This window comes from Homo sapiens, chromosome 8, assembly GCF_000001405.40.
Source record: "Homo sapiens chromosome 8, GRCh38.p14 Primary Assembly".
NCBI classification, from domain to species: Eukaryota; Metazoa; Chordata; class Mammalia; order Primates; family Hominidae; genus Homo; species Homo sapiens.
The window spans coordinates 7268241-7295609 of NC_000008.11; the positions used below are offsets into that span (position 1 = coordinate 7268241).

At 53.5% G+C, this 27369-nt stretch overlaps 3 protein-coding genes, 1 long non-coding RNA gene and 1 pseudogene across 5 annotated transcripts in view; 4 read left to right on the plus strand and 1 right to left on the minus strand.

Annotated features, from left to right (window-relative positions):
* Positions 1 to 27344, minus strand: LOC124901877 (uncharacterized). Of its 2 annotated transcripts, XR_007060793.1 has the most exons (5): positions 26193 to 27344; positions 25203 to 25727; positions 17581 to 18105; positions 9959 to 10483; positions 1 to 2861 (listed from the first exon to the last, which is right to left on the minus strand). It is a non-coding gene; the product is annotated as an uncharacterized LOC124901877 (long non-coding RNA). The 2 variants fall into 2 exon arrangements; XR_007060794.1 differs by lacking the exons at positions 1 to 2861; positions 25203 to 25727; positions 26193 to 27344 and adding an exon at positions 18571 to 19722 and having other exon boundaries at positions 7623 to 10483; positions 10949 to 18105.
* On the plus strand, positions 2248 to 7480 carry FAM90A4P (family with sequence similarity 90 member A4, pseudogene; annotated as a pseudogene).
* On the plus strand, positions 11530 to 14540 carry FAM90A13 (family with sequence similarity 90 member A13). Its single transcript, NM_001423526.1, has 4 exons — positions 11530 to 11652; positions 12147 to 12346; positions 12805 to 12913; positions 13578 to 14540. Exons 1-4 carry the CDS (start codon positions 11530 to 11532, stop codon positions 14538 to 14540), a joined length of 1395 nt encoding a protein of 464 aa, NP_001410455.1.
* Positions 19152 to 22162, plus strand: FAM90A5 (family with sequence similarity 90 member A5). Its single transcript, NM_001423529.1, has 4 exons — positions 19152 to 19274; positions 19769 to 19968; positions 20427 to 20535; positions 21200 to 22162. The coding sequence occupies exons 1-4, from the start codon at positions 19152 to 19154 to the stop codon at positions 22160 to 22162; spliced, it is 1395 nt and encodes a 464-aa protein (NP_001410458.1).
* FAM90A20 (family with sequence similarity 90 member A20) overlaps positions 26774 to 27369 on the plus strand; it is a 3011-nt gene continuing 2415 nt past the window's right edge. The window contains exon 1 of the mRNA NM_001423532.1: positions 26774 to 26896. Within this exon, the coding sequence (NP_001410461.1) occupies positions 26774 to 26896 (123 nt within the window). The remainder of the gene's footprint in view (positions 26897 to 27369) is intronic.

Genomic DNA, 27369 nt, shown 5'->3' on the forward strand with positions numbered 1-27369 from the left:
TATAGGGAGACAACAGTGGGTCCAGGGGACCGGCACTCAGCACACCTAGGACCTGCACCGGCACCGGCCTCTGAGTTCCCTCAGTTTTTATTGATTATGATTATCATTATTACAGCACAAAGGAATGCAGTAGGGGAGCAGGGTGATAATAAGGGGAAGTTCAACAGCAACAACAAAAACAAACACGTGAGCAAAAGAATCCATATCATTATTAAGTTCAAGGGAAGGTACTATGCCTGGACGTGCACGTAGGCCAGATTTATGTTTCTCTCCACACAAATATCTCAGCGGAGTAAAGAATAACAAGGCAGCATTACTGCCAACATGTCTCGCCTCCCGCCACAGGGCAGCTTTTCTCCGAGCTCAGAGTTGAACAAATGTACGATCGGGCTTTACACCGAGACATTCAGTTCCCAGGGGCAAGCAGGAGACAGTGGCCTTCCTCCATCTGAACTGCAAGAGGCTTTCCTCTTTGACTAATCCACCTCAGCACAGACCCATTGCGGGTGTCAGGCTGGGGGACAGTCAGGTCTTTCCCATCCCACGAGGCCATATTTCAGACTGTCACATGGGGAGAAACCTTGGACAATAACCTGCTTTCAAGGGCAGAGGTCCCTGTGGCTTTCCACGGTGCATTGCGCCCCTGGTTTATTGAGACTAGGGAATGGCAATGACTCCTACCAAGTATACTGCTCGTAAACATTTGGTTAACAAGGCGCGTCCTGCACAGCCCTAGATCCCTTAAACCTCGATTTTATACAACACAGGTTTTTGTGAGCTCCAAGTTGGGTCAAAGGAAGGGGCTGCGGCAAAGCTACAAATGATCAACATCTCAGCAAAGCAATTGTTTAAACTACAGGTCTTTTTCAAAATGGAGTCTCTTATGTCTTCCCCTTCTACATAGACACAGTGACAGTCTGATCTCTCTTTCTTTACCCTACATCCAAGGGCTTGAACATTTCTTGACTTGTTGGCAATCCAAATCGTTACGTCTCCGAAACAGAGTTGACTGAGGGGACCGCAGGGCTGGGCAGGACCTTTGACTTGCTATACATCCACAGGAGCAAGAAAACCTCAGCCCCACTCTACCAACACGCACCTAGTAAAATTCCGCCAACCGCATCTCACGCACGCTAACACGTGGGGAGCGTTGCTTGCACCACGAGTCCCCATTTGGCTCAACCGCCGATGCCAAGTGTGTGGTTCCAGTTGCGACGGCCCCCCGTGAAGTGGCTTCCGGATGTGCGAAGGAACCAGGCAGAGTTTCACTGGCCAAATAGACCCCAGCAAAGCTGAAGTTAACTCCCACATTTGGGATGTACTTCAGAGGTAAAACATTCATCCCGTCTTCTTTCCGGATGTCTGACACCATGGTTCTCCCCCTGATCCTAAGAGTAGCTGAGGTAGAGACTCACTGAAAGATCTAGGCGGGGATATCCCATCATGCACAGGCTCTCTCCATTCTCTGACCTGGGAACAACTCTCAGCAGGATTCCACATCTAGGAGGCCTCGGAACTCAGTGGGATTTTCTGAGACACACCAACTGGCTGCTCCCTCTCCGCCGCTGTTGAGGGTCGTTATCTTGATTATCCAGATCACCTAGAAAGTATCCGTATCCAGAATGAATAAGATCAACTCTCTGCTCCTCTGACAGCAGAGGGAGCAGGACCATAAGGAACCAAAGAGCGTGGAAGGAAACGATGTGACAGGAAAGCTCAGAGAACGGCCACAGGGGGTCGTCAGCAGGCCTTCCAACCTGAATCATGAATAATTAATGAAGCGTAAATCAAAGGGGACTGGAGTTTCAGCAGGAGCAATTCATCCAACGGGAGATCGCCGGAGGGCCAACAAGATTGAGAGACTGGGAGCCGGGTGCAGTGTCAAAGGGGACGCGACTGGTTCCAAAGCTCGAGAAGACCATGGGGTCACTTGGGCTACATGAGAAAACGCCCCAGTGTGCTGGTTCATCATTCCGACTCCTGCCTGTCTCTTCCCGTCCAAGGAACATGGACCCTAAGTCGTGCAGGTGCGGATGACCATGGGCAGAATTAGGGGCCGTGGCACAAAAGTTCACCGACACGGGAGTTCCACAGAAGGTGCGGTGGATCTTCGCAAATCCAGAGACATGGCAATGGGACCCAGGGAATTAGAGCCTCACAGGCGTCCGGGAGTCGCAAGACGAGCTGAAAAAGGAGCCAGGCACTGAAGGACAAAGCGTTGTTGACTTTCCTCATCTGTGTTTCCCAGTGCGGTCCAATTCACGGTGGTTTCCAAGCGCCTCCTGGGGGAGAAAACACATGAGGGTGCGGTCAGGGTTCTCTGCTGACAGACTTACCTTGGGGAAGAAAGAGAAGCTCTGAAGATGGATCATGGCCGTGACTGCATGTCAAGGAGAGTCTCCTTGATGACACTGAGGCCTACGTCGAGAGAGACAAAATGTGGTCCAATTAAAAGGTGTCTATTTTACCACATTTTTTAAAACGAAACAAAACAAAACAACAAAAAAGATGGAAAAGAAGACAGGGATACAGGCACCAGTGTTACATGTCTGACGGGGAACATCTATTGTTCAAAGCTTGCAGCTGTACAAGTAGGTTTTAGAATGTCTGTCAGCAGTGGACAGGATCTTAGAGTGGGCTGTGCAGATAGACCTTTCCAGGTCATGTAACTGGATTAAGTTAATTGCAATTAAGGTACAGGTAACTGATTAGGTTAGGGTACGTTCCATGTCAGGTGACCAGAGGCAGTATAAAAGGCAGCCTGGAAAGCAGAGGTCCCTCTCCGCCCCTTCCTCCGTCGTTCTGGATGCTGCATCGCTTCCAGCGGGGCTGCTGCAGCACCTGCCCATCTCAGCGCCAGCCTGGGAAAGAAAGTAGATGTGTAATTTCAGGTTGGTTTCGCTGAACAATTGTTTGTTTCACGCAATCCCTGGGGGGGTTTTGCGGGGGGTGTGGGGGAGGAAGAGACAAAGGAGGCCGAAAGAAACCGATCACACTGGGGCTTGCTGGTGGGGTAGGATGTGTTCTCGTTACTAGTAATTCTTGGAACAGAAAACGAGAAAACATATCCGTCTCCACGTGTGGGAGAAGACCAAGATGGGAATGCGAAAAGAAATGTACTGCAGCATGCTGAATTGGTGGGTAAATGGAAAAAGGACTTTGGAAAAAAGGGGGGTTTGACCTTCAGCCGTGTAAGACGTCGATACGATATGGCACTTCTTCCCCGTTTGTTCAGATGAATTCGTGTGGTATGCGTAAAATACCAGGAAAATAAATAAAGAGGGGCTGGAGCTAAAGCCAAAAGATAGAACAGGAAAGACCATCACCTGCTAGTGCGGTAGAGAGGAAGGTAACTTCTCTGTATGAATTTGTGTTTGGAAGTTGCCTAATGAAATGGCAAGAGTAGCGATTCAAGTTGTCACAGGAAGCATCCCTTATCCCTGACTTCAAGCAGACCTGCCAAAGGGTGGCACACGCCATGCCCTGTGTCTTCGATCATTCTGTCCGTCAAGGGAGATAGAATCACCGTGTCTTCTACCGGAGTGAATCGTGAGAGACCTAAGTCCAGTCTCCAGAATCAGTTGTTTGTTTGGGGTTGAAAGCTCAACCCCCCATACCTAGGCCACGGGCCCTGTGGCAGGTGGGGTTTACTCTTGGACTAGGTAGTCATGGCAGAGGAACACACAATATCCGAGGATGCGCGCAGCACATTGTGTTCTACAGATTTGACCGACTGGTGGTGAGGTCTCCTCATGACCACACAGGCAGGGAGTTAGCAGGTGGCTTCCTGTGGGTGTGTGAATATCCAACGTGCTTAACCATCGACATGTGTGTGTTTGTGTGTGTTTCAGGTGGCCCAACAGTCCACCCCTGAAAAAGGCGGTCATAAAACCCCCAGGAGACGAAGATGATGGCACGTCGGGACCCCACATCTTGGGCCAAGAGACTGGTGAGAGCCCAGACCCTCCAGAAGCAGCGGAGGGCCCCAGTTGGGCCAAGGGCTCCCCCGCCCGATGAAGAAGATCCCAGGGTAAGTCTAGCCCTGGATCTCTTGGGTATCGGGGTGGGGGTGGGGACGGGGGGAGGGGGTGTCCCACGGTCCTCAGAGACTGGGTTGGATTCCAAAGAGTTCTGTCACCACCAGCCAGGTTGCTTTTCCCATCCAAGGTGGGCGTGGCTTGGGACCTTCTCCCCGGCCCGATAGGTCCCTTGAGAGACTCTTGGGGGCAACCTCCCTTTCTACTTAGAGTCCTGTGTAGCCACGTTTGGCTGCGTTGTTGACATCGGCTTCACCATCGTGCCCCTTGGAACCTTGAGTCCTTCCTTTCAGAGTTCCTCCGTCACACGGGCTTTGCGAGGGAACATCGTATCCGAACTCTCCCAGCACTTAACGGCCCCCATGCCGGTGTCCCCTCTTTGGAATCCTTATTCAGCTCTGAATTCACAATCCGTCCCAATGTTGACGTGGGATCGCTGCCTGTGGCTTCAGCTCACTCACTGACATCACTTCCTTTCCACCCACAGCTCAAGTGCAAAAACTGCGGGGCCTTTGGCCACACGGCCAGAAGTACCAGGTGCCCCATGAAGTGCTGGAAGGCAGCCCTGGTTCCAGCGACCTTGGGGAAAAAGGAAGGGAAGGAAAACCTGAAACCATGGAAGCCCCGGGTTGAAGCCAACCCGGGGCCCTTGAACAAGGATAAGGGAGAGTAGGAAGAGAGACCAAGGTGAGCAGTGGGAGGGGTTTTCACCACTCTTGGGGTACTGCCTCCTAAGGACATGGTGTCTCTGCACCTGCACACCGTGTGCCTTTCCGTCTCCGGGCCAGGGAAGGAACGCTGCAGAGAAATAGGCCGGAGCTCCGTGTCCTCCGGGGTTCCACACCCAGGAGCTCCTTGGGCTCTGGGAGATTCAGGGACGGGGAGAGGCGGGGGCGCTTCGTGCAGGTTCCCCGCCACAGCGGGAAAAGCGATGGAATCCAAATCACAGTCCTTAGTTGGGGAGCCTAGAGGGCCACCTGGAGGATGGGAAGGTTGGCACGTGAGGGAAGGTGCAGAGGCGGAAAGGGCACCAGATGTCCATTTCTGTATCACAAGACACGGAATGGGGCTGGGCCCCAGACGGGGTTCTCCCTGTCTCCTGGGGAAAACCAGGGGGCACGGCCTGACCTTTTTCTGTTCTGCAGGCAACAAGACCCGCAGAGGAAGGCTCTCCTCCACATGTTTTCCGGGAAACCTCCAGAGAAGCCGCTGCCGAATGGAAAAGGATCCACGGAACCTTCTGATTATCTGAGGGCGAGTGTCACCCCGGGCCCCTGGTCTTTTTCTCCTCTAGGTCACCCTGGTTGATTTCCTTTCAGCTTCCCGTCTGCGGGAGGAAATCGGGGAACCCCTCTTTCTTGCCTTCTTGGGGTCAGGGACTCCACGATCCTTCCAGGTCAATTGGATTCCAGGCGAAGGCATCTGAACATGCCGTATTTCCTGTTGCTTTCTTTCTGTCCAATTATGGCAAGCCTGCCAACAACACGTTCCTAGCGGCATGAGGAAATTAGTCCCTCAGAGGCCCCAAACGTGGAGAAGGCGAAACCCAGGAACATGCATGTGTTCAGAGAAGACGTCCCGAGTACCCTTGAGCCAGCAACCTGCCTTGGGAAGGGCATTAGTCCGTTCCACTTCATGGAAGGCTGAGTGGAGGCGCTTTGATCCAGTTAATGCCCAAGACGCGATCTTTTGAACAATGGTGTGCTTAGATCAGCTACACATAGCTCGAGAGCGCATCTTTCATGTGTCTTGTCCTGATCAGCACTCAGGTGGAGGGTCTGTCCCTACTTCCAAGGACCGCCTGTCGATACTGTACTAAGAATTTCATGGCGTGTGCACCTTGTCTTTGGATGTGCTTGATTTTCACGTTGGCTCCATGCTGAGGAACTTCTAACCTGTGTTGTTTCCTCTCTTTCAGGTTGCAAGCGGGCCAATGCCGGTCCACACAACCAGTAAGAGGCCGCGCGTGGACCCTGTCCTCGCTGATGGCTCAGCTACCGAAATGTCTGGCAGGGGCTCCGTCTTGGCTTCACTGTCTCCCCTCAGAAAAGCCAGCCTGAGCTCCTCCTCAAGTCTTGGACCAAAGGAAAGACAGACAGGGGCTGCGGCCGACATGCCTCAGCCTGCAGTCAGGCACCAGGGCCGCGAGCCTCTCCTCGTGGTGAAGCCGACACACAGCAGCCCTGAGGGTGGCTGCCGAGAAGTTCCCCAGGCTGCCTCCAAAACCCACGGCCTGCTCCAGGCCGCCAGACCCCAGGCACAAGACAAACGTCCTGCGGTGACCTCACAGCCCTGCCCGCCAGCCGCCACACACAGCTTGGGCCTCGGCTCCAATCTCAGCTTCGGGCCAGGAGCCAAGAGACCTGCCCAGGCTCCGATTCAGGCTTGCCTGAACTTCCCCAAGAAACCGAGACTGGGTCCCTTCCAGATCCCCGAAAGCGCCATCCAGGGAGGTGAGCTGGGGGCCCCGGAGAATCTCCAACCTCCGCCAGCCGCAACCGAACTTGGACCAAGTACGTCGCCCCAGATGGGCAGGAGGACACCGGCCCAGGTGCCCAGCGTCGAACGGCAGCCTCCGCACAGCAGACCTTGCCTGCCTACTGCCCAGGCCTGCACCATGTCCCATCACTCAGCGGCCAGCCATGATGGGGCCCAGCCTCTCAGAGTGCTCTTCCGGAGACTGGAAAACGGACGCTGGAGCTCCAGCCTCCTGGCGGCCCCCTCATTTCACTCTCCTGAGAAGCCGGGAGCCTTCCTCGCTCAGAGCCCTCATGTGTCAGAGAAGTCTGAGGCTCCCTGTGTTCGTGTCCCACCGAGCGTCCTCTATGAGGACCTTCAGGTTTCCTCCTCCTCAGAGGACAGCGATTCTGACCTGGAGTGAGACTGCAGGTGGCAGGGGCTCCTTGGCCTCCAGCTCCCGTGACTTGGAGGGGACTGTGGGACTGAGGAGCGCAGAGCAGAGAGCAGACTCTGTGCGGTGACTCCGAAGCTCCCCGGCTGTGGCGCTTCTGTGGATGTGGGAGCCCAGGCCAGGCAGGGAGCAGATGCAGGGACTCTGCCTCATTGAATTCTGGTGAGGGACGTTGTAGTTGGCGTGGTTCTCCCGAAACGCGCCAGGAAAAGCTTCCGTGCCAGAGATTCGTTGCCTCAGAAACTGCGTGACGCGCAGGAGTCAGACTTCCGCTGGGACGTCAATAGGAAACTGGGGAATTACTGTGTATTTGCTGTCTAGATGACTGAATAAGGGAAAAGTTAGGGAACCCTGAGAGGTGCAGCCCTTCCGCTGTGCCCCGCCCTGAGAGCAGAGTTTCGGACGCTGGGAAGCGTGCTGTGTGAAGCGCTCTCGGGGTCTTTCCTCAGCCTCGAAAACTGGGCTCTGGAATGCCTTTGTACATATGTGTGTTTAATTGGTTTTGAAGTGAATAAAATTCTCAAAAAGATGACATATTGTCTTTTGACTCTCATTCCGTGTTTGTGTGTAACTGATTTTCCAAGTGAAGGGGTGGCCTGCCCCTCCACACCTGTGGGTGTTTCTAGTCGGGTGGGATGAGAGATGGAGAATAGAAATAAGACACAGAGACAAAGTATAGGGAGACAACAGTGGGTCCAGGGGACCGGCACTCAGCACACCTAGGACCTGCACCGGCACCGGCCTCTGAGTTCCCTCAGTTTTTATTGATTATGATTATCATTATTACAGCACAAAGGAATGCAGTAGGGGAGCAGGGTGATAATAAGGGGAAGTTCAACAGCAACAACAAAAACAAACACGTGAGCAAAAGAATCCATATCATTATTAAGTTCAAGGGAAGGTACTATGCCTGGACGTGCACGTAGGCCAGATTTATGTTTCTCTCCACACAAATATCTCAGCGGAGTAAAGAATAACAAGGCAGCATTACTGCCAACATGTCTCGCCTCCCGCCACAGGGCAGCTTTTCTCCGAGCTCAGAGTTGAACAAATGTACGATCGGGCTTTACACCGAGACATTCAGTTCCCAGGGGCAAGCAGGAGACAGTGGCCTTCCTCCATCTGAACTGCAAGAGGCTTTCCTCTTTGACTAATCCACCTCAGCACAGACCCATTGCGGGTGTCAGGCTGGGGGACAGTCAGGTCTTTCCCATCCCACGAGGCCATATTTCAGACTGTCACATGGGGAGAAACCTTGGACAATACCCTGCTTTCAAGGGCAGAGGTCCCTGTGGCTTTCCACGGTGCATTGCGCCCCTGGTTTATTGAGACTAGGGAATGGCAATGACTCCTACCAAGTATACTGCTCGTAAACATTTGGTTAACAAGGCGCGTCCTGCACAGCCCTAGATCCCTTAAACCTCGATTTTATACAACACAGGTTTTTGTGAGCTCCAAGTTGGGTCAAAGGAAGGGGCTGCGGCAAAGCTACAAATGATCAACATCTCAGCAAAGCAATTGTTTAAACTACAGGTCTTTTTCAAAATGGAGTCTCTTATGTCTTCCCCTTCTACATAGACACAGTGACAGTCTGATCTCTCTTTCTTTACCCTACATCCAAGGGCTTGAACATTTCTTGACTTGTTGGCAATCCAAATCGTTACGTCTCCGAAACAGAGTTGACTGAGGGGACCGCAGGGCTGGGCAGGACCTTTGACTTGCTATACATCCACAGGAGCAAGAAAACCTCAGCCCCACTCTACCAACACGCACCTAGTAAAATCCCGCCAACCGCATCTCACGCACGCTAACACGTGGGGAGCGTTGCTTGCACCACGAGTCCCCATTTGGCTCAACCGCCGATGCCAAGTGTGTGGTTCCAGTTGCGACGGCCCCCCGTGAAGTGGCTTCCGGATGTGCGAAGGAACCAGGCAGAGTTTCACTGGCCAAATAGACCCCAGCAAAGCTGAAGTTAACTCCCACATTTGGGATGTACTTCAGAGGTAAAACATTCATCCCGTCTTCTTTCCGGATGTCTGACACCATGGTTCTCCCCCTGATCCTAAGAGTAGCTGAGGTAGAGACTCACTGAAAGATCTAGGCAGGGATATCCCATCATGCACAGGCTCTCTCCATTCTCTGACCTGGGAACAACTCTCAGCAGGATTCCACATCTAGGAGGCCTCGGAACTCAGTGGGATTTTCTGAGACACACCAACTGGCTGCTCCCTCTCCGCCGCTGTTGAGGGTCGTTATCTTGATTATCCAGATCACCTAGAAAGTATCCGTATCCAGAATGAATAAGATCAACTCTCTGCTCCTCTGACAGCAGAGGGAGCAGGACCATAAGGAACCAAAGAGCGTGGAAGGAAACGATGTGACAGGAAAGCTCAGAGAACGGCCACAGGGGGTCGTCAGCAGGCCTTCCAACCTGAATCATGAATAATTAATGAAGCGCAAATCAAAGGGGACTGGAGTTTCAGCAGGAGCAATTCATCCAACGGGAGATCGCCGGAGGGCCAACAAGATTGAGAGACTGGGAGCCGGGTGCAGTGTCAAAGGGGACGCGACTGGTTCCAAAGCTCGAGAAGACCATGGGGTCACTTGGGCTACATGAGAAAACGCCCCAGTGTGCTGGTTCATCATTCCGACTCCTGCCTGTCTCTTCCCGTCCAAGGAACATGGACCCTAAGTCGTGCAGGTGCGGATGACCATGGGCAGAATTAGGGGCCGTGGCACAAAAGTTCACCGACACGGGAGTTCCACAGAAGGTGCGGTGGATCTTCGCAAATCCAGAGACATGGCAATGGGACCCAGGGAATTAGAGCCTCACAGGCGTCCGGGAGTCGCAAGACGAGCTGAAAAAGGAGCCAGGCACTGAAGGACAAAGCGTTGTTGACTTTCCTCATCTGTGTTTCCCAGTGCGGTCCAATTCACGGTGGTTTCCAAGCGCCTCCTGGGGGAGAAAACACATGAGGGTGCGGTCAGGGTTCTCTGCTGACAGACTTACCTTGGGGAAGAAAGAGAAGCTCTGAAGATGGATCATGGCCGTGACTGCATGTCAAGGAGAGTCTCCTTGATGACACTGAGGCCTACGTCGAGAGAGACAAAATGTGGTCCAATTAAAAGGTGTCTATTTTACCACATTTTTTAAAACGAAACAAAACAAAACAACAAAAAAGATGGAAAGGAAGACAGGGGTACAGGCACCAGTGTTACATGTCTGACGGGGAACATCTATTGTTCAAAGCTTGCAGCTGTACAAGTAGGTTTTAGAATGTCTGTCAGCAGTGGACAGGATCTTAGAGTGGGCTGTGCAGATAGACCTTTCCAGGTCATGTAATTGGATTAAGTTAATTGCAATTAAGGTACAGGTAACTGATTAGGTTAGGGTACGTTCCATGTCAGGTGACCAGAGGCAGTATAAAAGGCAGCCTGGAAAGCGGAGGTCCCTCTCCGCCCCTTCCTCCGTCGTTCTGGATGCTGCATCGCTTCCAGCGGGGCTGCTGCAGCACCTGCCCATCTCAGCGCCAGCCTGGGAAAGAAAGTAGACGTGTAATTTCAGGTTAGTTTCGCTGAACAATTGTTTGTTTCACGCAATCCCTGAGGGGTTTTTGCGGGGGGTGTGGGGGAGGAAGAGACAAAGGAGGCCGAAAGAAACCGATCACACTGGGGCTTGCTGGTGGGGTAGGATGTGTTCTCGTTACTAGTAATTCTTGGAACAGAAAACGAGAAAACATACCCGTCTCCACGTGTGGGAGAAGACCAAGATGGGAATGCGAAAAGAAATGTACTGCAGCATGCTGAATTGGTGGGTAAACGGCAAAAGGACTTTGGAAAAAAGGGTGGTTGGCCCTTGAGCCGTGTAAGACGTCGATACGATATGGCACTTCTTCCCCGTTTGTTCAGATGAATTCGTGTGGTGTGCGTAAAATACCAGGAAAATAAATAAAGAGGGGCTGGAGCTAAAGCCAAAAGATAGAACAGGAAAGACCATCACCTGCTAGTGCGGTAGAGAGGAAGGTAACTTCTCTGTATGAATTTGTGTTTGGAAGTTGCCTAATGAAATGGCAAGAGTAGCGATTCAAGTTGTCACAGGAAGCATCCCTTATCCCTGACTTCAAGCAGACCTGCCAAAGGGTGGCACACGCCATGCCCTGTGTCTTCGATCATTCTGTCCGTCAAGGGAGATAGAATCACCGTGTCTTCTACCGGAGTGAATCGTGAGAGACCTAAGTCCAGTCTCCAGAATCAGTTGTTTGTTTGGGGTTGAAAGCTCAACCCCCCATACCTAGGCCACGGGCCCTGTGGCAGGTGGGGTTTACTCTTGGACTAGGTAGTCATGGCAGAGGAACACACAATATCCGAGGATGCGCGCAGCACATTGTGTTCTACAGATTTGACCGACTGGTGGTGAGGTCTCCTCATGACCACACAGGCAGGGAGTTAGCAGGTGGCTTCCTGTGGGTGTGTGAATATCCAACGTGCTTAACCATCGACATGTGTGTGTTTGTGTGTGTTTCAGGTGGCCCAACAGTCCACCCCTGAAAAAGGCGGTCATAAAACCCCCAGGAGACGAAGATGATGGCACGTCGGGACCCCACATCTTGGGCCAAGAGACTGGTGAGAGCCCAGACCCTCCAGAAGCAGCGGAGGGCCCCAGTTGGGCCAAGGGCTCCCCCGCCCGATGAAGAAGATCCCAGGGTAAGTCTAGCCCTGGATCTCTTGGGTATCGGGGTGGGGGTGGGGACGGGGGGAGGGGGTGTCCCACGGTCCTCAGAGACTGGGTTGGATTCCAAAGAGTTCTGTCACCACCAGCCAGGTTGCTTTTCCCATCCAAGGTGGGCGTGGCTTGGGACCTTCTCCCCGGCCCGATAGGTCCCTTGAGAGACTCTTGGGGGCAACCTCCCTTTCTACTTAGAGTCCTGTGTAGCCACGTTTGGCTGCGTTGTTGACATCGGCTTCACCATCGTGCCCCTTGGAACCTTGAGTCCTTCCTTTCAGAGTTCCTCCGTCACACGGGCTTTGCGAGGGAACATCGTATCCGAACTCTCCCAGCACTTAACGGCCCCCATGCCGGTGTCCCCTCTTTGGAATCCTTATTCAGCTCTGAATTCACAATCCGTCCCAATGTTGACGTGGGATCGCTGCCTGTGGCTTCAGCTCACTCACTGACATCACTTCCTTTCCACCCACAGCTCAAGTGCAAAAACTGCGGGGCCTTTGGCCACACGGCCAGAAGTACCAGGTGCCCCATGAAGTGCTGGAAGGCAGCCCTGGTTCCAGCGACCTTGGGGAAAAAGGAAGGGAAGGAAAACCTGAAACCATGGAAGCCCCGGGGTGAAGCCAACCCGGGGCCCTTGAACAAGGATAAGGGAGAGAAGGAAGAGAGACCAAGGTGAGCAGTGGGAGGGGTTTTCACCACTCTTGGGGTACTGCCTCCTAAGGACATGGTGTCTCTGCACCTGCACACCGTGTGCCTTTCCGTCTCCGGGCCAGGGAAGGAACGCTGCAGAGAAATAGGCCGGAGCTCCGTGTCCTCCGGGGTTCCACACCCAGGAGCTCCTTGGGCTCTGGGAGATTCAGGGACGGGGAGAGGCGGGGGCGCTTCGTGCAGGTTCCCCGCGACAGCGGGAAAAGCGATGGAATCCAAATCACAGTCCTTAGTTGGGAAGCCTAGAGGGCCACCTGGAGGATGGGAAGGTTGGCACGTGAGGGAAGGTGCAGAGGCGGAAAGGGCACCAGATGTCCATTTCTGTATCACAAGACACGGAATGGGGCTGGGCCCCAGACGGGGTTCTCCCTGTCTCCTGGGGAAAACCAGGGGGCACGGCCTGACCTTTTTCTGTTCTGCAGGCAACAAGACCCGCAGAGGAAGGCTCTCCTCCACATGTTTTCCGGGAAACCTCCAGAGAAGCCGCTGCCGAATGGAAAAGGATCCACGGAACCTTCTGATTATCTGAGGGCGAGTGTCACCCCGGGCCCCTGGTCTTTTTCTCCTCTAGGTCACCCTGGTTGATTTCCTTTCAGCTTCCCGTCTGCGGGAGGAAATCGGGGAACCCCTCTTTCTTGCCTTCTTGGGGTCAGGGACTCCACGATCCTTCCAGGTCAATTGGATTCCAGGCGAAGGCATCTGAACATGCCGTATTTCCTGTTGCTTTCTTTCTGTCCAATTATGGCAAGCCTGCCAACAACACGTTCCTAGCGGCATGAGGAAATTAGTCCCTCAGAGGCCCCAAACGTGGAGAAGGCGAAACCCAGGAACATGCATGTGTTCAGAGAAGACGTCCCGAGTACCCTTGAGCCAGCAACCTGCCTTGGGAAGGGCATTAGTCCGTTCCACTTCATGGAAGGCTGAGTGGAGGCGCTTTGATCCAGTTAATGCCCAAGACGCGATCTTTTGAACAATGGTGTGCTTAGATCAGCTACACATAGCTCGAGAGCGCATCTTTCATGTGTCTTGTCCTGATCAGCACTCAGGTGGAGGGTCTGTCCCTACTTCCAAGGACCGCCTGTCGATACTGTACTAAGAATTTCATGGCGTGTGCACCTTGTCTTTGGATGTGCTTGATTTTCACGTTGGCTCCATGCTGAGGAACTTCTAACCTGTGTTGTTTCCTCTCTTTCAGGTTGCAAGCGGGCCAATGCCGGTCCACACAACCAGTAAGAGGCCGCGCTTGGACCCTGTCCTCGCTGATCGCTCAGCTACCGAAATGTCTGGCAGGGGCTCCGTCTTGGCTTCACTGTCTCCCCTCAGAAAAGCCAGCCTGAGCTCCTCCTCAAGTCTTGGACCAAAGGAAAGACAGACAGGGGCTGCGGCCGACATGCCTCAGCCTGCAGTCAGGCACCAGGGCCGCGAGCCTCTCCTCGTGGTGAAGCCGACACACAGCCGCCCCGAGGGTGGCTGCCGAGAAGTTCCCCAGGCTGCCTCCAAAACCCACGGCCTGCTCCAGGCCGCCAGACCCCAGGCACAAGACAAACGTCCTGCGGTGACCTCACAGCCCTGCCCGCCAGCCGCCACACACAGCTTGGGCCTAGGCTCCAATCTCAGCTTCGGGCCAGGAGCCAAGAGACCTGCCCAGGCTCCGATTCAGGCTTGCCTGAACTTCCCCAAGAAACCGAGACTGGGTCCCTTCCAGATCCCCGAAAGCGCCATCCAGGGAGGTGAGCTGGGGGCCCCGGAGAATCTCCAACCTCCGCCAGCCGCAACCGAACTTGGACCAAGTACGTCGCCCCAGATGGGCAGGAGGACACCGGCCCAGGTGCCCAGCGTCGACCGGCAGCCTCCGCACAGCAGACCTTGCCTGCCCACTGCCCAGGCCTGCACCATGTCCCATCACCCAGCGGCCAGCCATGATGGGGCCCAGCCTCTCAGAGTGCTCTTCCGGAGACTGGAAAACGGACGCTGGAGCTCCAGCCTCCTGGCGGCCCCCTCATTTCACTCTCCTGAGAAGCCGGGAGCCTTCCTCGCTCAGAGCCCTCATGTGTCAGAGAAGTCTGAGGCTCCCTGTGTTCGTGTCCCACCGAGCGTCCTCTATGAGGACCTTCAGGTTTCCTCCTCCTCAGAGGACAGCGATTCTGACCTGGAGTGAGACTGCAGGTGGCAGGGGCTCCTTGGCCTCCAGCTCCCGTGACTTGGAGGGGACTGTGGGACTGAGGAGCGCAGAGCAGAGAGCAGACTCTGTGCGGTGACTCCGAAGCTCCCCGGCTGTGGCGCTTCTGTGGATGTGGGAGCCCAGGCCAGGCAGGGAGCAGATGCAGGGACTCTGCCTCATTGAATTCTGGTGAGGGACGTTGTAGTTGGCGTGGTTCTCCCGAAACGCGCCAGGAAAAGCTTCCGTGCCAGAGATTCGTTGCCTCAGAAACTGCGTGACGCGCAGGAGTCAGACTTCCGCTGGGACGTCAATAGGAAACTGGGGAATTACTGTGTATTTGCTCTCTAGATGACTGAATAAGGGAAAAGTTAGGGAACCCTGAGAGGTGCAGCCCTTCCTCTGTGCCCCGCCCTGAGAGCAGAGTTTCGGACGCTGGGAAGCGTGCTGTGTGAAGCGCTCTCGGGGTCTTTCCTCAGCCTCGAAAACTGGGCTCTGGAATGCCTTTGTACATATGTGTGTTTAATTGGTTTTGAAGTGAATAAAATTCTCAAAAAGATGACATATTGTCTTTTGACTCTCATTCCGTGTTTGTGTGTAACTGATTTTCCAAGTGAAGGGGTGGCCTGCCCCTCCACACCTGTGGGTGTTTCTAGTCGGGTGGGATGAGAGATGGAGAATAGAAATAAGACACAGAGACAAAGTATAGGGAGACAACAGTGGGTCCAGGGGACCGGCACTCAGCACACCTAGGACCTGCACCGGCACCGGCCTCTGAGTTCCCTCAGTTTTTATTGATTATGATTATCATTATTACAGCACAAAGGAATGCAGTAGGGGAGCAGGGTGATAATAAGGGGAAGTTCAACAGCAACAACAAAAACAAACACGTGAGCAAAAGAATCCATATCATTATTAAGTTCAAGGGAAGGTACTATGCCTGGACGTGCACGTAGGCCAGATTTATGTTTCTCTCCACACAAATATCTCAGCGGAGTAAAGAATAACAAGGCAGCATTACTGCCAACATGTCTCGCCTCCCGCCACAGGGCAGCTTTTCTCCGAGCTCAGAGTTGAACAAATGTACGATCGGGCTTTACACCGAGACATTCAGTTCCCAGGGGCAAGCAGGAGACAGTGGCCTTCCTCCATCTGAACTGCAAGAGGCTTTCCTCTTTGACTAATCCACCTCAGCACAGACCCATTGCGGGTGTCAGGCTGGGGGACAGTCAGGTCTTTCCCATCCCACGAGGCCATATTTCAGACTGTCACATGGGGAGAAACCTTGGACAATACCCTGCTTTCAAGGGCAGAGGTCCCTGTGGCTTTCCACGGTGCATTGCGCCCCTGGTTTATTGAGACTAGGGAATGGCAATGACTCCTACCAAGTATACTGCTCGTAAACATTTGGTTAACAAGGCGCGTCCTGCACAGCCCTAGATCCCTTAAACCTCGATTTTATACAACACAGGTTTTTGTGAGCTCCAAGTTGGGTCAAAGGAAGGGGCTGCGGCAAAGCTACAAATGATCAACATCTCAGCAAAGCAATTGTTTAAACTACAGGTCTTTTTCAAAATGGAGTCTCTTATGTCTTCCCCTTCTACATAGACACAGTGACAGTCTGATCTCTCTTTCTTTACCCTACATCCAAGGGCTTGAACATTTCTTGACTTGTTGGCAATCCAAATCGTTACGTCTCCGAAACAGAGTTGACTGAGGGGACCGCAGGGCTGGGCAGGACCTTTGACTTGCTATACATCCACAGGAGCAAGAAAACCTCAGCCCCACTCTACCAACACGCACCTAGTAAAATTCCGCCAACCGCATCTCACGCACGCTAACACGTGGGGAGCGTTGCTTGCACCACGAGTCCCCATTTGGCTCAACCGCCGATGCCAAGTGTGTGGTTCCAGTTGCGACGGCCCCCCGTGAAGTGGCTTCCGGATGTGCGAAGGAACCAGGCAGAGTTTCACTGGCCAAATAGACCCCAGCAAAGCTGAAGTTAACTCCCACATTTGGGATGTACTTCAGAGGTAAAACATTCATCCCGTCTTCTTTCCGGATGTCTGACACCATGGTTCTCCCCCTGATCCTAAGAGTAGCTGAGGTAGAGACTCACTGAAAGATCTAGGCGGGGATGTCCCATCATGCACAGGCTCTCTCCATTCTCTGACCTGGGAACAACTCTCAGCAGGATTCCACATCTAGGAGGCCTCGGAACTCAGTGGGATTTTCTGAGACACACCAACTGGCTGCTCCCTCTCCGCCGCTGTTGAGGGTCGTTATCTTGATTATCCAGATCACCTAGAAAGTATCCGTATCCAGAATGAATAAGATCAACTCTCTGCTCCTCTGACAGCAGAGGGAGCAGGACCATAAGGAACCAAAGAGCGTGGAAGGAAACGATGTGACAGGAAAGCTCAGAGAACGGCCACAGGGGGTCGTCAGCAGGCCTTCCAACCTGAATCATGAATAATTAATGAAGCGCAAATCAAAGGGGACTGGAGTTTCAGCAGGAGCAATTCATCCAACGGGAGATCGCCGGAGGGCCAACAAGATTGAGAGACTGGGAGCCGGGTGCAGTGTCAAAGGGGACGCGACTGGTTCCAAAGCTCGAGAAGACCATGGGGTCACTTGGGCTACATGAGAAAACGCCCCAGTGTGCTGGTTCATCATTCCGACTCCTGCCTGTCTCTTCCCGTCCAAGGAACATGGACCCTAAGTCGTGCAGGTGCGGATGACCATGGGCAGAATTAGGGGCCGTGGCACAAAAGTTCACCGACACGGGAGTTCCACAGAAGGTGCGGTGGATCTTCGCAAATCCAGAGACATGGCAATGGGACCCAGGGAATTAGAGCCTCACAGGCGTCCGGGAGTCGCAAGACGAGCTGAAAAAGGAGGCAGGCACTGAAGGACAAAGCGTTGTTGACTTTCCTCATCTGTGTTTCCCAGTGCGGTCCAATTCACGGTGGTTTCCAAGCGCCTCCTGGGGGAGAAAACACATGAGGGTGCGGTCAGGGTTCTCTGCTGACAGACTTACCTTGGGGAAGAAAGAGAAGCTCTGAAGATGGATCATGGCCGTGACTGCATGTCAAGGAGAGTCTCCTTGATGACACTGAGGCCTACGTCGAGAGAGACAAAATGTGGTCCAATTAAAAGGTGTCTATTTTACCACATTTTTTAAAACGAAACAAAACAAAACAACAAAAAAGATGGAAAAGAAGACAGGGATACAGGCACCAGTGTTACATGTCTGACGGGGAACATCTATTGTTCAAAGCTTGCAGCTGTACAAGTAGGTTTTAGAATGTCTGTCAGCAGTGGACAGGATCTTAGAGTGGGCTGTGCAGATAGACCTTTCCAGGTCATGTAACTGGATTAAGTTAATTGCAATTAAGGTACAGGTAACTGATTAGGTTAGGGTACGTTCCATGTCAGGTGACCAGAGGCAGTATAAAAGGCAGCCTGGAAAGCAGAGGTCCCTCTCCGCCCCTTCCTCCGTCGTTCTGGATGCTGCATCGCTTCCAGCGGGGCTGCTGCAGCACCTGCCCATCTCAGCGCCAGCCTGGGAAAGAAAGTAGACGTGTAATTTCAGGTTAGTTTCGCTGAACAATTGTTTGTTTCACGCAATCCCTGAGGGGTTTTTGCGGGGGGTGTGGGGGAGGAAGAGACAAAGGAGGCCGAAAGAAACCGATCACACTGGGGCTTGCTGGTGGGGTAGGATGTGTTCTCGTTACTAGTAATTCTTGGAACAGAAAACGAGAAAACATATCCGTCTCCACGTGTGGGAGAAGACCAAGATGGGAATGCGAAAAGAAATGTACTGCAGCCTGCTGAATTGGTGGGTAAACGGCAAAAGGACTTTGGAAAAAAGGGTGGTTGGCCCTTGAGCCGTGTAAGACGTCGATACGATATGGCACTTCTTCCCCGTTTGTTCAGATGAATTCGTGTGGTATGCGTAAAATACCAGGAAAATAAATAAAGAGGGGCTGGAGCTAAAGCCAAAAGATAGAACAGGAAAGACCATCACCTGCTAGTGCGGTAGAGAGGAAGGTAACTTCTCTGTATGAATTTGTGTTTGGAAGTTGCCTAATGAAATGGCAAGAGTAGCGATTCAAGTTGTCACAGGAAGCATCCCTTATCCCTGACTTCAAGCAGACCTGCCAAAGGGTGGCACACGCCATGCCCTGTGTCTTCGATCATTCTGTCCGTCAAGGGAGATAGAATCACCGTGTCTTCTACCGGAGTGAATCGTGAGAGACCTAAGTCCAGTCTCCAGAATCAGTTGTTTGTTTGGGGTTGAAAGCTCAACCCCCCATACCTAGGCCACGGGCCCTGTGGCAGGTGGGGTTTACTCTTGGACTAGGTAGTCATGGCAGAGGAACACACAATATCCGAGGATGCGCGCAGCACATTGTGTTCTACAGATTTGACCGACTGGTGGTGAGGTCTCCTCATGACCACACAGGCAGGGAGTTAGCAGGTGGCTTCCTGTGGGTGTGTGAATATCCAACGTGCTTAACCATCGACATGTGTGTGTTTGTGTGTGTTTCAGGTGGCCCAACAGTCCACCCCTGAAAAAGGCGGTCATAAAACCCCCAGGAGACGAAGATGATGGCACGTCGGGACCCCACATCTTGGGCCAAGAGACTGGTGAGAGCCCAGACCCTCCAGAAGCAGCGGAGGGCCCCAGTTGGGCCAAGGGCTCCCCCGCCCGATGAAGAAGATCCCAGGGTAAGTCTAGCCCTGGATCTCTTGGGTATCGGGGTGGGGGTGGGGACGGGGGGAGGGGGTGTCCCACGGTCCTCAGAGACTGGGTTGGATTCCAAAGAGTTCTGTCACCACCAGCCAGGTTGCTTTTCCCATCCAAGGTGGGCGTGGCTTGGGACCTTCTCCCCGGCCCGATAGGTCCCTTGAGAGACTCTTGGGGGCAACCTCCCTTTCTACTTAGAGTCCTGTGTAGCCACGTTTGGCTGCGTTGTTGACATCGGCTTCACCATCGTGCCCCTTGGAACCTTGAGTCCTTCCTTTCAGAGTTCCTCCGTCACACGGGCTTTGCGAGGGAACATCGTATCCGAACTCTCCCAGCACTTAACGGCCCCCATGCCGGTGTCCCCTCTTTGGAATCCTTATTCAGCTCTGAATTCACAATCCGTCCCAATGTTGACGTGGGATCGCTGCCTGTGGCTTCAGCTCACTCACTGACATCACTTCCTTTCCACCCACAGCTCAAGTGCAAAAACTGCGGGGCCTTTGGCCACACGGCCAGAAGTACCAGGTGCCCCATGAAGTGCTGGAAGGCAGCCCTGGTTCCAGCGACCTTGGGGAAAAAGGAAGGGAAGGAAAACCTGAAACCATGGAAGCCCCGGGTTGAAGCCAACCCGGGGCCCTTGAACAAGGATAAGGGAGAGAAGGAAGAGAGACCAAGGTGAGCAGTGGGAGGGGTTTTCACCACTCTTGGGGTACTGCCTCCTAAGGACATGGTGTCTCTGCACCTGCACACCGTGTGCCTTTCCGTCTCCGGGCCAGGGAAGGAACGCTGCAGAGAAATAGGCCGGAGCTCCGTGTCCTCCGGGGTTCCACACCCAGGAGCTCCTTGGGCTCTGGGAGATTCAGGGACGGGGAGAGGCGGGGGCGCTTCGTGCAGGTTCCCCGCGACAGCGGGAAAAGCGATGGAATCCAAATCACAGTCCTTAGTTGGGAAGCCTAGAGGGCCACCTGGAGGATGGGAAGGTTGGCACGTGAGGGAAGGTGCAGAGGCGGAAAGGGCACCAGATGTCCATTTCTGTATCACAAGACACGGAATGGGGCTGGGCCCCAGACGGGGTTCTCCCTGTCTCCTGGGGAAAACCAGGGGGCACGGCCTGACCTTTTTCTGTTCTGCAGGCAACAAGACCCGCAGAGGAAGGCTCTCCTCCACATGTTTTCCGGGAAACCTCCAGAGAAGCCGCTGCCGAATGGAAAAGGATCCACGGAACCTTCTGATTATCTGAGGGCGAGTGTCACCCCGGGCCCCTGGTCTTTTTCTCCTCTAGGTCACCCTGGTTGATTTCCTTTCAGCTTCCCGTCTGCGGGAGGAAATCGGGGAACCCCTCTTTCTTGCCTTCTTGGGGTCAGGGACTCCACGATCCTTCCAGGTCAATTGGATTCCAGGCGAAGGCATCTGAACATGCCGTATTTCCTGTTGCTTTCTTTCTGTCCAATTATGGCAAGCCTGCCAACAACACGTTCCTAGCGGCATGAGGAAATTAGTCCCTCAGAGGCCCCAAACGTGGAGAAGGCGAAACCCAGGAACATGCATGTGTTCAGAGAAGACGTCCCGAGTACCCTTGAGCCACCAACCTGCCTTGGGAAGGGCATTAGTCCGTTCCACTTCATGGAAGGCTGAGTGGAGGCGCTTTGATCCAGTTAATGCCCAAGACGCGATCTTTTGAACAATGGTGTGCTTAGATCAGCTACACATAGCTCGAGAGCGCATCTTTCATGTGTCTTGTCCTGATCAGCACTCAGGTGGAGGGTCTGTCCCTACTTCCAAGGACCGCCTGTCGATACTGTACTAAGAATTTCATGGCGTGTGCACCTTGTCTTTGGATGTGCTTGATTTTCACGTTGGCTCCATGCTGAGGAACTTCTAACCTGTGTTGTTTCCTCTCTTTCAGGTTGCAAGCGGGCCAATGCCGGTCCACACAACCAGTAAGAGGCCGCGCGTGGACCCTGTCCTCGCTGATGGCTCAGCTACCGAAATGTCTGACAGGGGCTCCGTCTTGGCTTCACTGTCTCCCCTCAGAAAAGCCAGCCTGAGCTCCTCCTCAAGTCTTGGACCAAAGGAAAGACAGACAGGGGCTGCGGCCGACATGCCTCAGCCTGCAGTCAGGCACCAGGGCCGCGAGCCTCTCCTCGTGGTGAAGCCGACACACAGCCGCCCCGAGGGTGGCTGCCGAGAAGTTCCCCAGGCTGCCTCCAAAACCCACGGCCTGCTCCAGGCCGCCAGACCCCAGGCACAAGACAAACGTCCTGCGGTGACCTCACAGCCCTGCCCGCCAGCCGCCACACACAGCTTGGGCCTAGGCTCCAATCTCAGCTTCGGGCCAGGAGCCAAGAGACCTGCCCAGGCTCCGATTCAGGCTTGCCTGAACTTCCCCAAGAAACCGAGACTGGGTCCCTTCCAGATCCCCGAAAGCGCCATCCAGGGAGGTGAGCTGGGGGCCCCGGAGAATCTCCAACCTCCGCCAGCCGCAACCGAACTTGGACCAAGTACGTCGCCCCAGATGGGCAGGAGGACACCGGCCCAGGTGCCCAGCGTCGACCGGCAGCCTCCGCACAGCAGACCTTGCCTGCCCACTGCCCAGGCCTGCACCATGTCCCATCACCCAGCGGCCAGCCATGATGGGGCCCAGCCTCTCAGAGTGCTCTTCCGGAGACTGGAAAACGGACGCTGGAGCTCCAGCCTCCTGGCGGCCCCCTCATTTCACTCTCCTGAGAAGCCGGGAGCCTTCCTCGCTCAGAGCCCTCATGTGTCAGAGAAGTCTGAGGCTCCCTGTGTTCGTGTCCCACCGAGCGTCCTCTATGAGGACCTTCAGGTTTCCTCCTCCTCAGAGGACAGCGATTCTGACCTGGAGTGAGACTGCAGGTGGCAGGGGCTCCTTGGCCTCCAGCTCCCGTGACTTGGAGGGGACTGTGGGGCTGAGGAGCGCAGAGCAGAGAGCACACTCTGTGCGGTGACTCCGAAGCTCCCCGGCTGTGGCGCTTCTGTGGATGTGGGAGCCCAGGCCAGGCAGGGAGCAGATGCAGGGACTCTGCCTCATTGAATTCTGGTGAGGGACGTTGTAGTTGGCGTGGTTCTCCCGAAACGCGCCAGGAAAAGCTTCCGTGCCAGAGATTCGTTGCCTCAGAAACTGCGTGACGCGCAGGAGTCAGACTTCCGCTGGGACGTCAATAGGAAACTGGGGAATTACTGTGTATTTGCTCTCTAGATGACTGAATAAGGGAAAAGTTAGGGAACCCTGAGAGGTGCAGCCCTTCCTCTGTGCCCCGCCCTGAGAGCAGAGTTTCGGACGCTGGGAAGCGTGCTGTGTGAAGCGCTCTCGGGGTCTTTCCTCAGCCTCGAAAACTGGGCTCTGGAATGCCTTTGTACATATGTGTGTTTAATTGGTTTTGAAGTGAATAAAATTCTCAAAAAGATGACATATTGTCTTTTGACTCTCATTCCGTGTTTGTGTGTAACTGATTTTCCAAGTGAAGGGGTGGCCTGCCCCTCCACACCTGTGGGTGTTTCTAGTCGGGTGGGATGAGAGATGGAGAATAGAAATAAGACACAGAGACAAAGTATAGGGAGACAACAGTGGGTCCAGGGGACCGGCACTCAGCACACCTAGGACCTGCACCGGCACCGGCCTCTGAGTTCCCTCAGTTTTTATTGATTATGATTATCATTATTACAGCACAAAGGAATGCAGTAGGGGAGCAGGGTGATAATAAGGGGAAGTTCAACAGCAACAACAAAAACAAACACGTGAGCAAAAGAATCCATATCATTATTAAGTTCAAGGGAAGGTACTATGCCTGGACGTGCACGTAGGCCAGATTTATGTTTCTCTCCACACAAATATCTCAGCGGAGTAAAGAATAACAAGGCAGCATTACTGCCAACATGTCTCGCCTCCCGCCACAGGGCAGCTTTTCTCCGAGCTCAGAGTTGAACAAATGTACGATCGGGCTTTACACCGAGACATTCAGTTCCCAGGGGCAAGCAGGAGACAGTGGCCTTCCTCCATCTGAACTGCAAGAGGCTTTCCTCTTTGACTAATCCACCTCAGCACAGACCCATTGCGGGTGTCAGGCTGGGGGACAGTCAGGTCTTTCCCATCCCACGAGGCCATATTTCAGACTGTCACATGGGGAGAAACCTTGGACAATACCCTGCTTTCAAGGGCAGAGGTCCCTGTGGCTTTCCACGGTGCATTGCGCCCCTGGTTTATTGAGACTAGGGAATGGCAATGACTCCTACCAAGTATACTGCTCGTAAACATTTGGTTAACAAGGCGCGTCCTGCACAGCCCTAGATCCCTTAAACCTCGATTTTATACAACACAGGTTTTTGTGAGCTCCAAGTTGGGTCAAAGGAAGGGGCTGCGGCAAAGCTACAAATGATCAACATCTCAGCAAAGCAATTGTTTAAACTACAGGTCTTTTTCAAAATGGAGTCTCTTATGTCTTCCCCTTCTACATAGACACAGTGACAGTCTGATCTCTCTTTCTTTACCCTACATCCAAGGGCTTGAACATTTCTTGACTTGTTGGCAATCCAAATCGTTACGTCTCCGAAACAGAGTTGACTGAGGGGACCGCAGGGCTGGGCAGGACCTTTGACTTGCTATACATCCACAGGAGCAAGAAAACCTCAGCCCCACTCTACCAACACGCACCTAGTAAAATTCCGCCAACCGCATCTCACGCACGCTAACACGTGGGGAGCGTTGCTTGCACCACGAGTCCCCATTTGGCTCAACCGCCGATGCCAAGTGTGTGGTTCCAGTTGCGACGGCCCCCCGTGAAGTGGCTTCCGGATGTGCGAAGGAACCAGGCAGAGTTTCACTGGCCAAATAGACCCCAGCAAAGCTGAAGTTAACTCCCACATTTGGGATGTACTTCAGAGGTAAAACATTCATCCCGTCTTCTTTCCGGATGTCTGACACCATGGTTCTCCCCCTGATCCTAAGAGTAGCTGAGGTAGAGACTCACTGAAAGATCTAGGCGGGGATGTCCCATCATGCACAGGCTCTCTCCATTCTCTGACCTGGGAACAACTCTCAGCAGGATTCCACATCTAGGAGGCCTCGGAACTCAGTGGGATTTTCTGAGACACACCAACTGGCTGCTCCCTCTCCGCCGCTGTTGAGGGTCGTTATCTTGATTATCCAGATCACCTAGAAAGTATCCGTATCCAGAATGAATAAGATCAACTCTCTGCTCCTCTGACAGCAGAGGGAGCAGGACCATAAGGAACCAAAGAGCGTGGAAGGAAACGATGTGACAGGAAAGCTCAGAGAACGGCCACAGGGGGTCGTCAGCAGGCCTTCCAACCTGAATCATGAATAATTAATGAAGCGCAAATCAAAGGGGACTGGAGTTTCAGCAGGAGCAATTCATCCAACGGGAGATCGCCGGAGGGCCAACAAGATTGAGAGACTGGGAGCCGGGTGCAGTGTCAAAGGGGACGCGACTGGTTCCAAAGCTCGAGAAGACCATGGGGTCACTTGGGCTACATGAGAAAACGCCCCAGTGTGCTGGTTCATCATTCCGACTCCTGCCTGTCTCTTCCCGTCCAAGGAACATGGACCCTAAGTCGTGCAGGTGCGGATGACCATGGGCAGAATTAGGGGCCGTGGCACAAAAGTTCACCGACACGGGAGTTCCACAGAAGGTGCGGTGGATCTTCGCAAATCCAGAGACATGGCAATGGGACCCAGGGAATTAGAGCCTCACAGGCGTCCGGGAGTCGCAAGACGAGCTGAAAAAGGAGGCAGGCACTGAAGGACAAAGCGTTGTTGACTTTCCTCATCTGTGTTTCCCAGTGCGGTCCAATTCACGGTGGTTTCCAAGCGCCTCCTGGGGGAGAAAACACATGAGGGTGCGGTCAGGGTTCTCTGCTGACAGACTTACCTTGGGGAAGAAAGAGAAGCTCTGAAGATGGATCATGGCCGTGACTGCATGTCAAGGAGAGTCTCCTTGATGACACTGAGGCCTACGTCGAGAGAGACAAAATGTGGTCCAATTAAAAGGTGTCTATTTTACCACATTTTTTAAAACGAAACAAAACAAAACAACAAAAAAGATGGAAAAGAAGACAGGGATACAGGCACCAGTGTTACATGTCTGACGGGGAACATCTATTGTTCAAAGCTTGCAGCTGTACAAGTAGGTTTTAGAATGTCTGTCAGCAGTGGACAGGATCTTAGAGTGGGCTGTGCAGATAGACCTTTCCAGGTCATGTAATTGGATTAAGTTAATTGCAATTAAGGTACAGGTAACTGATTAGGTTAGGGTACGTTCCATGTCAGGTGACCAGAGGCAGTATAAAAGGCAGCCTGGAAAGCAGAGGTCCCTCTCCGCCCCTTCCTCCGTCGTCCTGGATGCTGCATCGCTTCCAGCCGGGCTGCTGCAGCACCTGCCCATCTCAGCGCCAGCCTGGGAAAGAAAGTAGACGTGTAACTTCAGGTTAGTTTCGCTGAACAATTGTTTGTTTCACGCAATCCCTGAGGGGTTTTTGCGGGGGGTGTGGGGGAGGAAGAGACAAAGGAGGCCGAAAGAAACCGATCACACTGGGGCTTGCTGGTGGGGTAGGATGTGTTCTCGTTACTAGTAATTCTTGGAACAGAAAACGAGAAAACATATCCGTCTCCACGTGTGGGAGAAGACCAAGATGGGAATGCGAAAAGAAATGTACTGCAGCATGCTGAATTGGTGGGTAAACGGCAAAAGGACTTTGGAAAAAAGGGTGGTTGGCCCTTGAGCCGTGTAAGACGTCGATACGATATGGCACTTCTTCCCCGTTTGTTCAGATGAATTCGTGTGGTATGCGTAAAATACCAGGAAAATAAATAAAGAGGGGCTGGAGCTAAAGCCAAAAGATAGAACAGGAAAGACCATCACCTGCTAGTGCGGTAGAGAGGAAGGTAACTTCTCTGTATGAATTTGTGTTTGGAAGTTGCCTAATGAAATGGCAAGAGTAGCGATTCAAGTTGTCACAGGAAGCATCCCTTATCCCTGACTTCAAGCAGACCTGCCAAAGGGTGGCACACGCCATGCCCTGTGTCTTCGATCATTCTGTCCGTCAAGGGAGATAGAATCACCGTGTCTTCTACCGGAGTGAATCGTGAGAGACCTAAGTCCAGTCTCCAGAATCAGTTGTTTGTTTGGGGTTGAAAGCTCAACCCCCCATACCTAGGCCACGGGCCCTGTGGCAGGTGGGGTTTACTCTTGGACTAGGTAGTCATGGCAGAGGAACACACAATATCCGAGGATGCGCACAGCACATTGTGTTCTACAGATTTGACCGACTGGTGGTGAGGTCTCCTCATGACCACACAGGCAGGGAGTTAGCAGGTGGCTTCCTGTGGGTGTGTGAATATCCAACGTGCTTAACCATCGACATGTGTGTGTTTGTGTGTGTTTCAGGTGGCCCAACAGTCCACCCCTGAAAAAGGCGGTCATAAAACCCCCAGGAGACGAAGATGATGGCACGTCGGGACCCCACATCTTGGGCCAAGAGACTGGTGAGAGCCCAGACCCTCCAGAAGCAGCGGAGGGCCCCAGTTGGGCCAAGGGCTCCCCCGCCCGATGAAGAAGATCCCAGGGTAAGTCTAGCCCTGGATCTCTTGGGTATCGGGGTGGGGGTGGGGACGGGGGGAGGGGGTGTCCCACGGTCCTCAGAGACTGGGTTGGATTCCAAAGAGTTCTGTCACCACCAGCCAGGTTGCTTTTCCCATCCAAGGTGGGCGTGGCTTGGGACCTTCTCCCCGGCCCGATAGGTCCCTTGAGAGACTCTTGGGGGCAACCTCCCTTTCTACTTAGAGTCCTGTGTAGCCACGTTTGGCTGCGTTGTTGACATCGGCTTCACCATCGTGCCCCTTGGAACCTTGAGTCCTTCCTTTCAGAGTTCCTCCGTCACACGGGCTTTGCGAGGGAACATCGTATCCGAACTCTCCCAGCACTTAACGGCCCCCATGCCGGTGTCCCCTCTTTGGAATCCTTATTCAGCTCTGAATTCACAATCCATCCCAATGTTAACGTGGGATCGCTGCCTGTGGCTTCAGCTCACTCACTGACA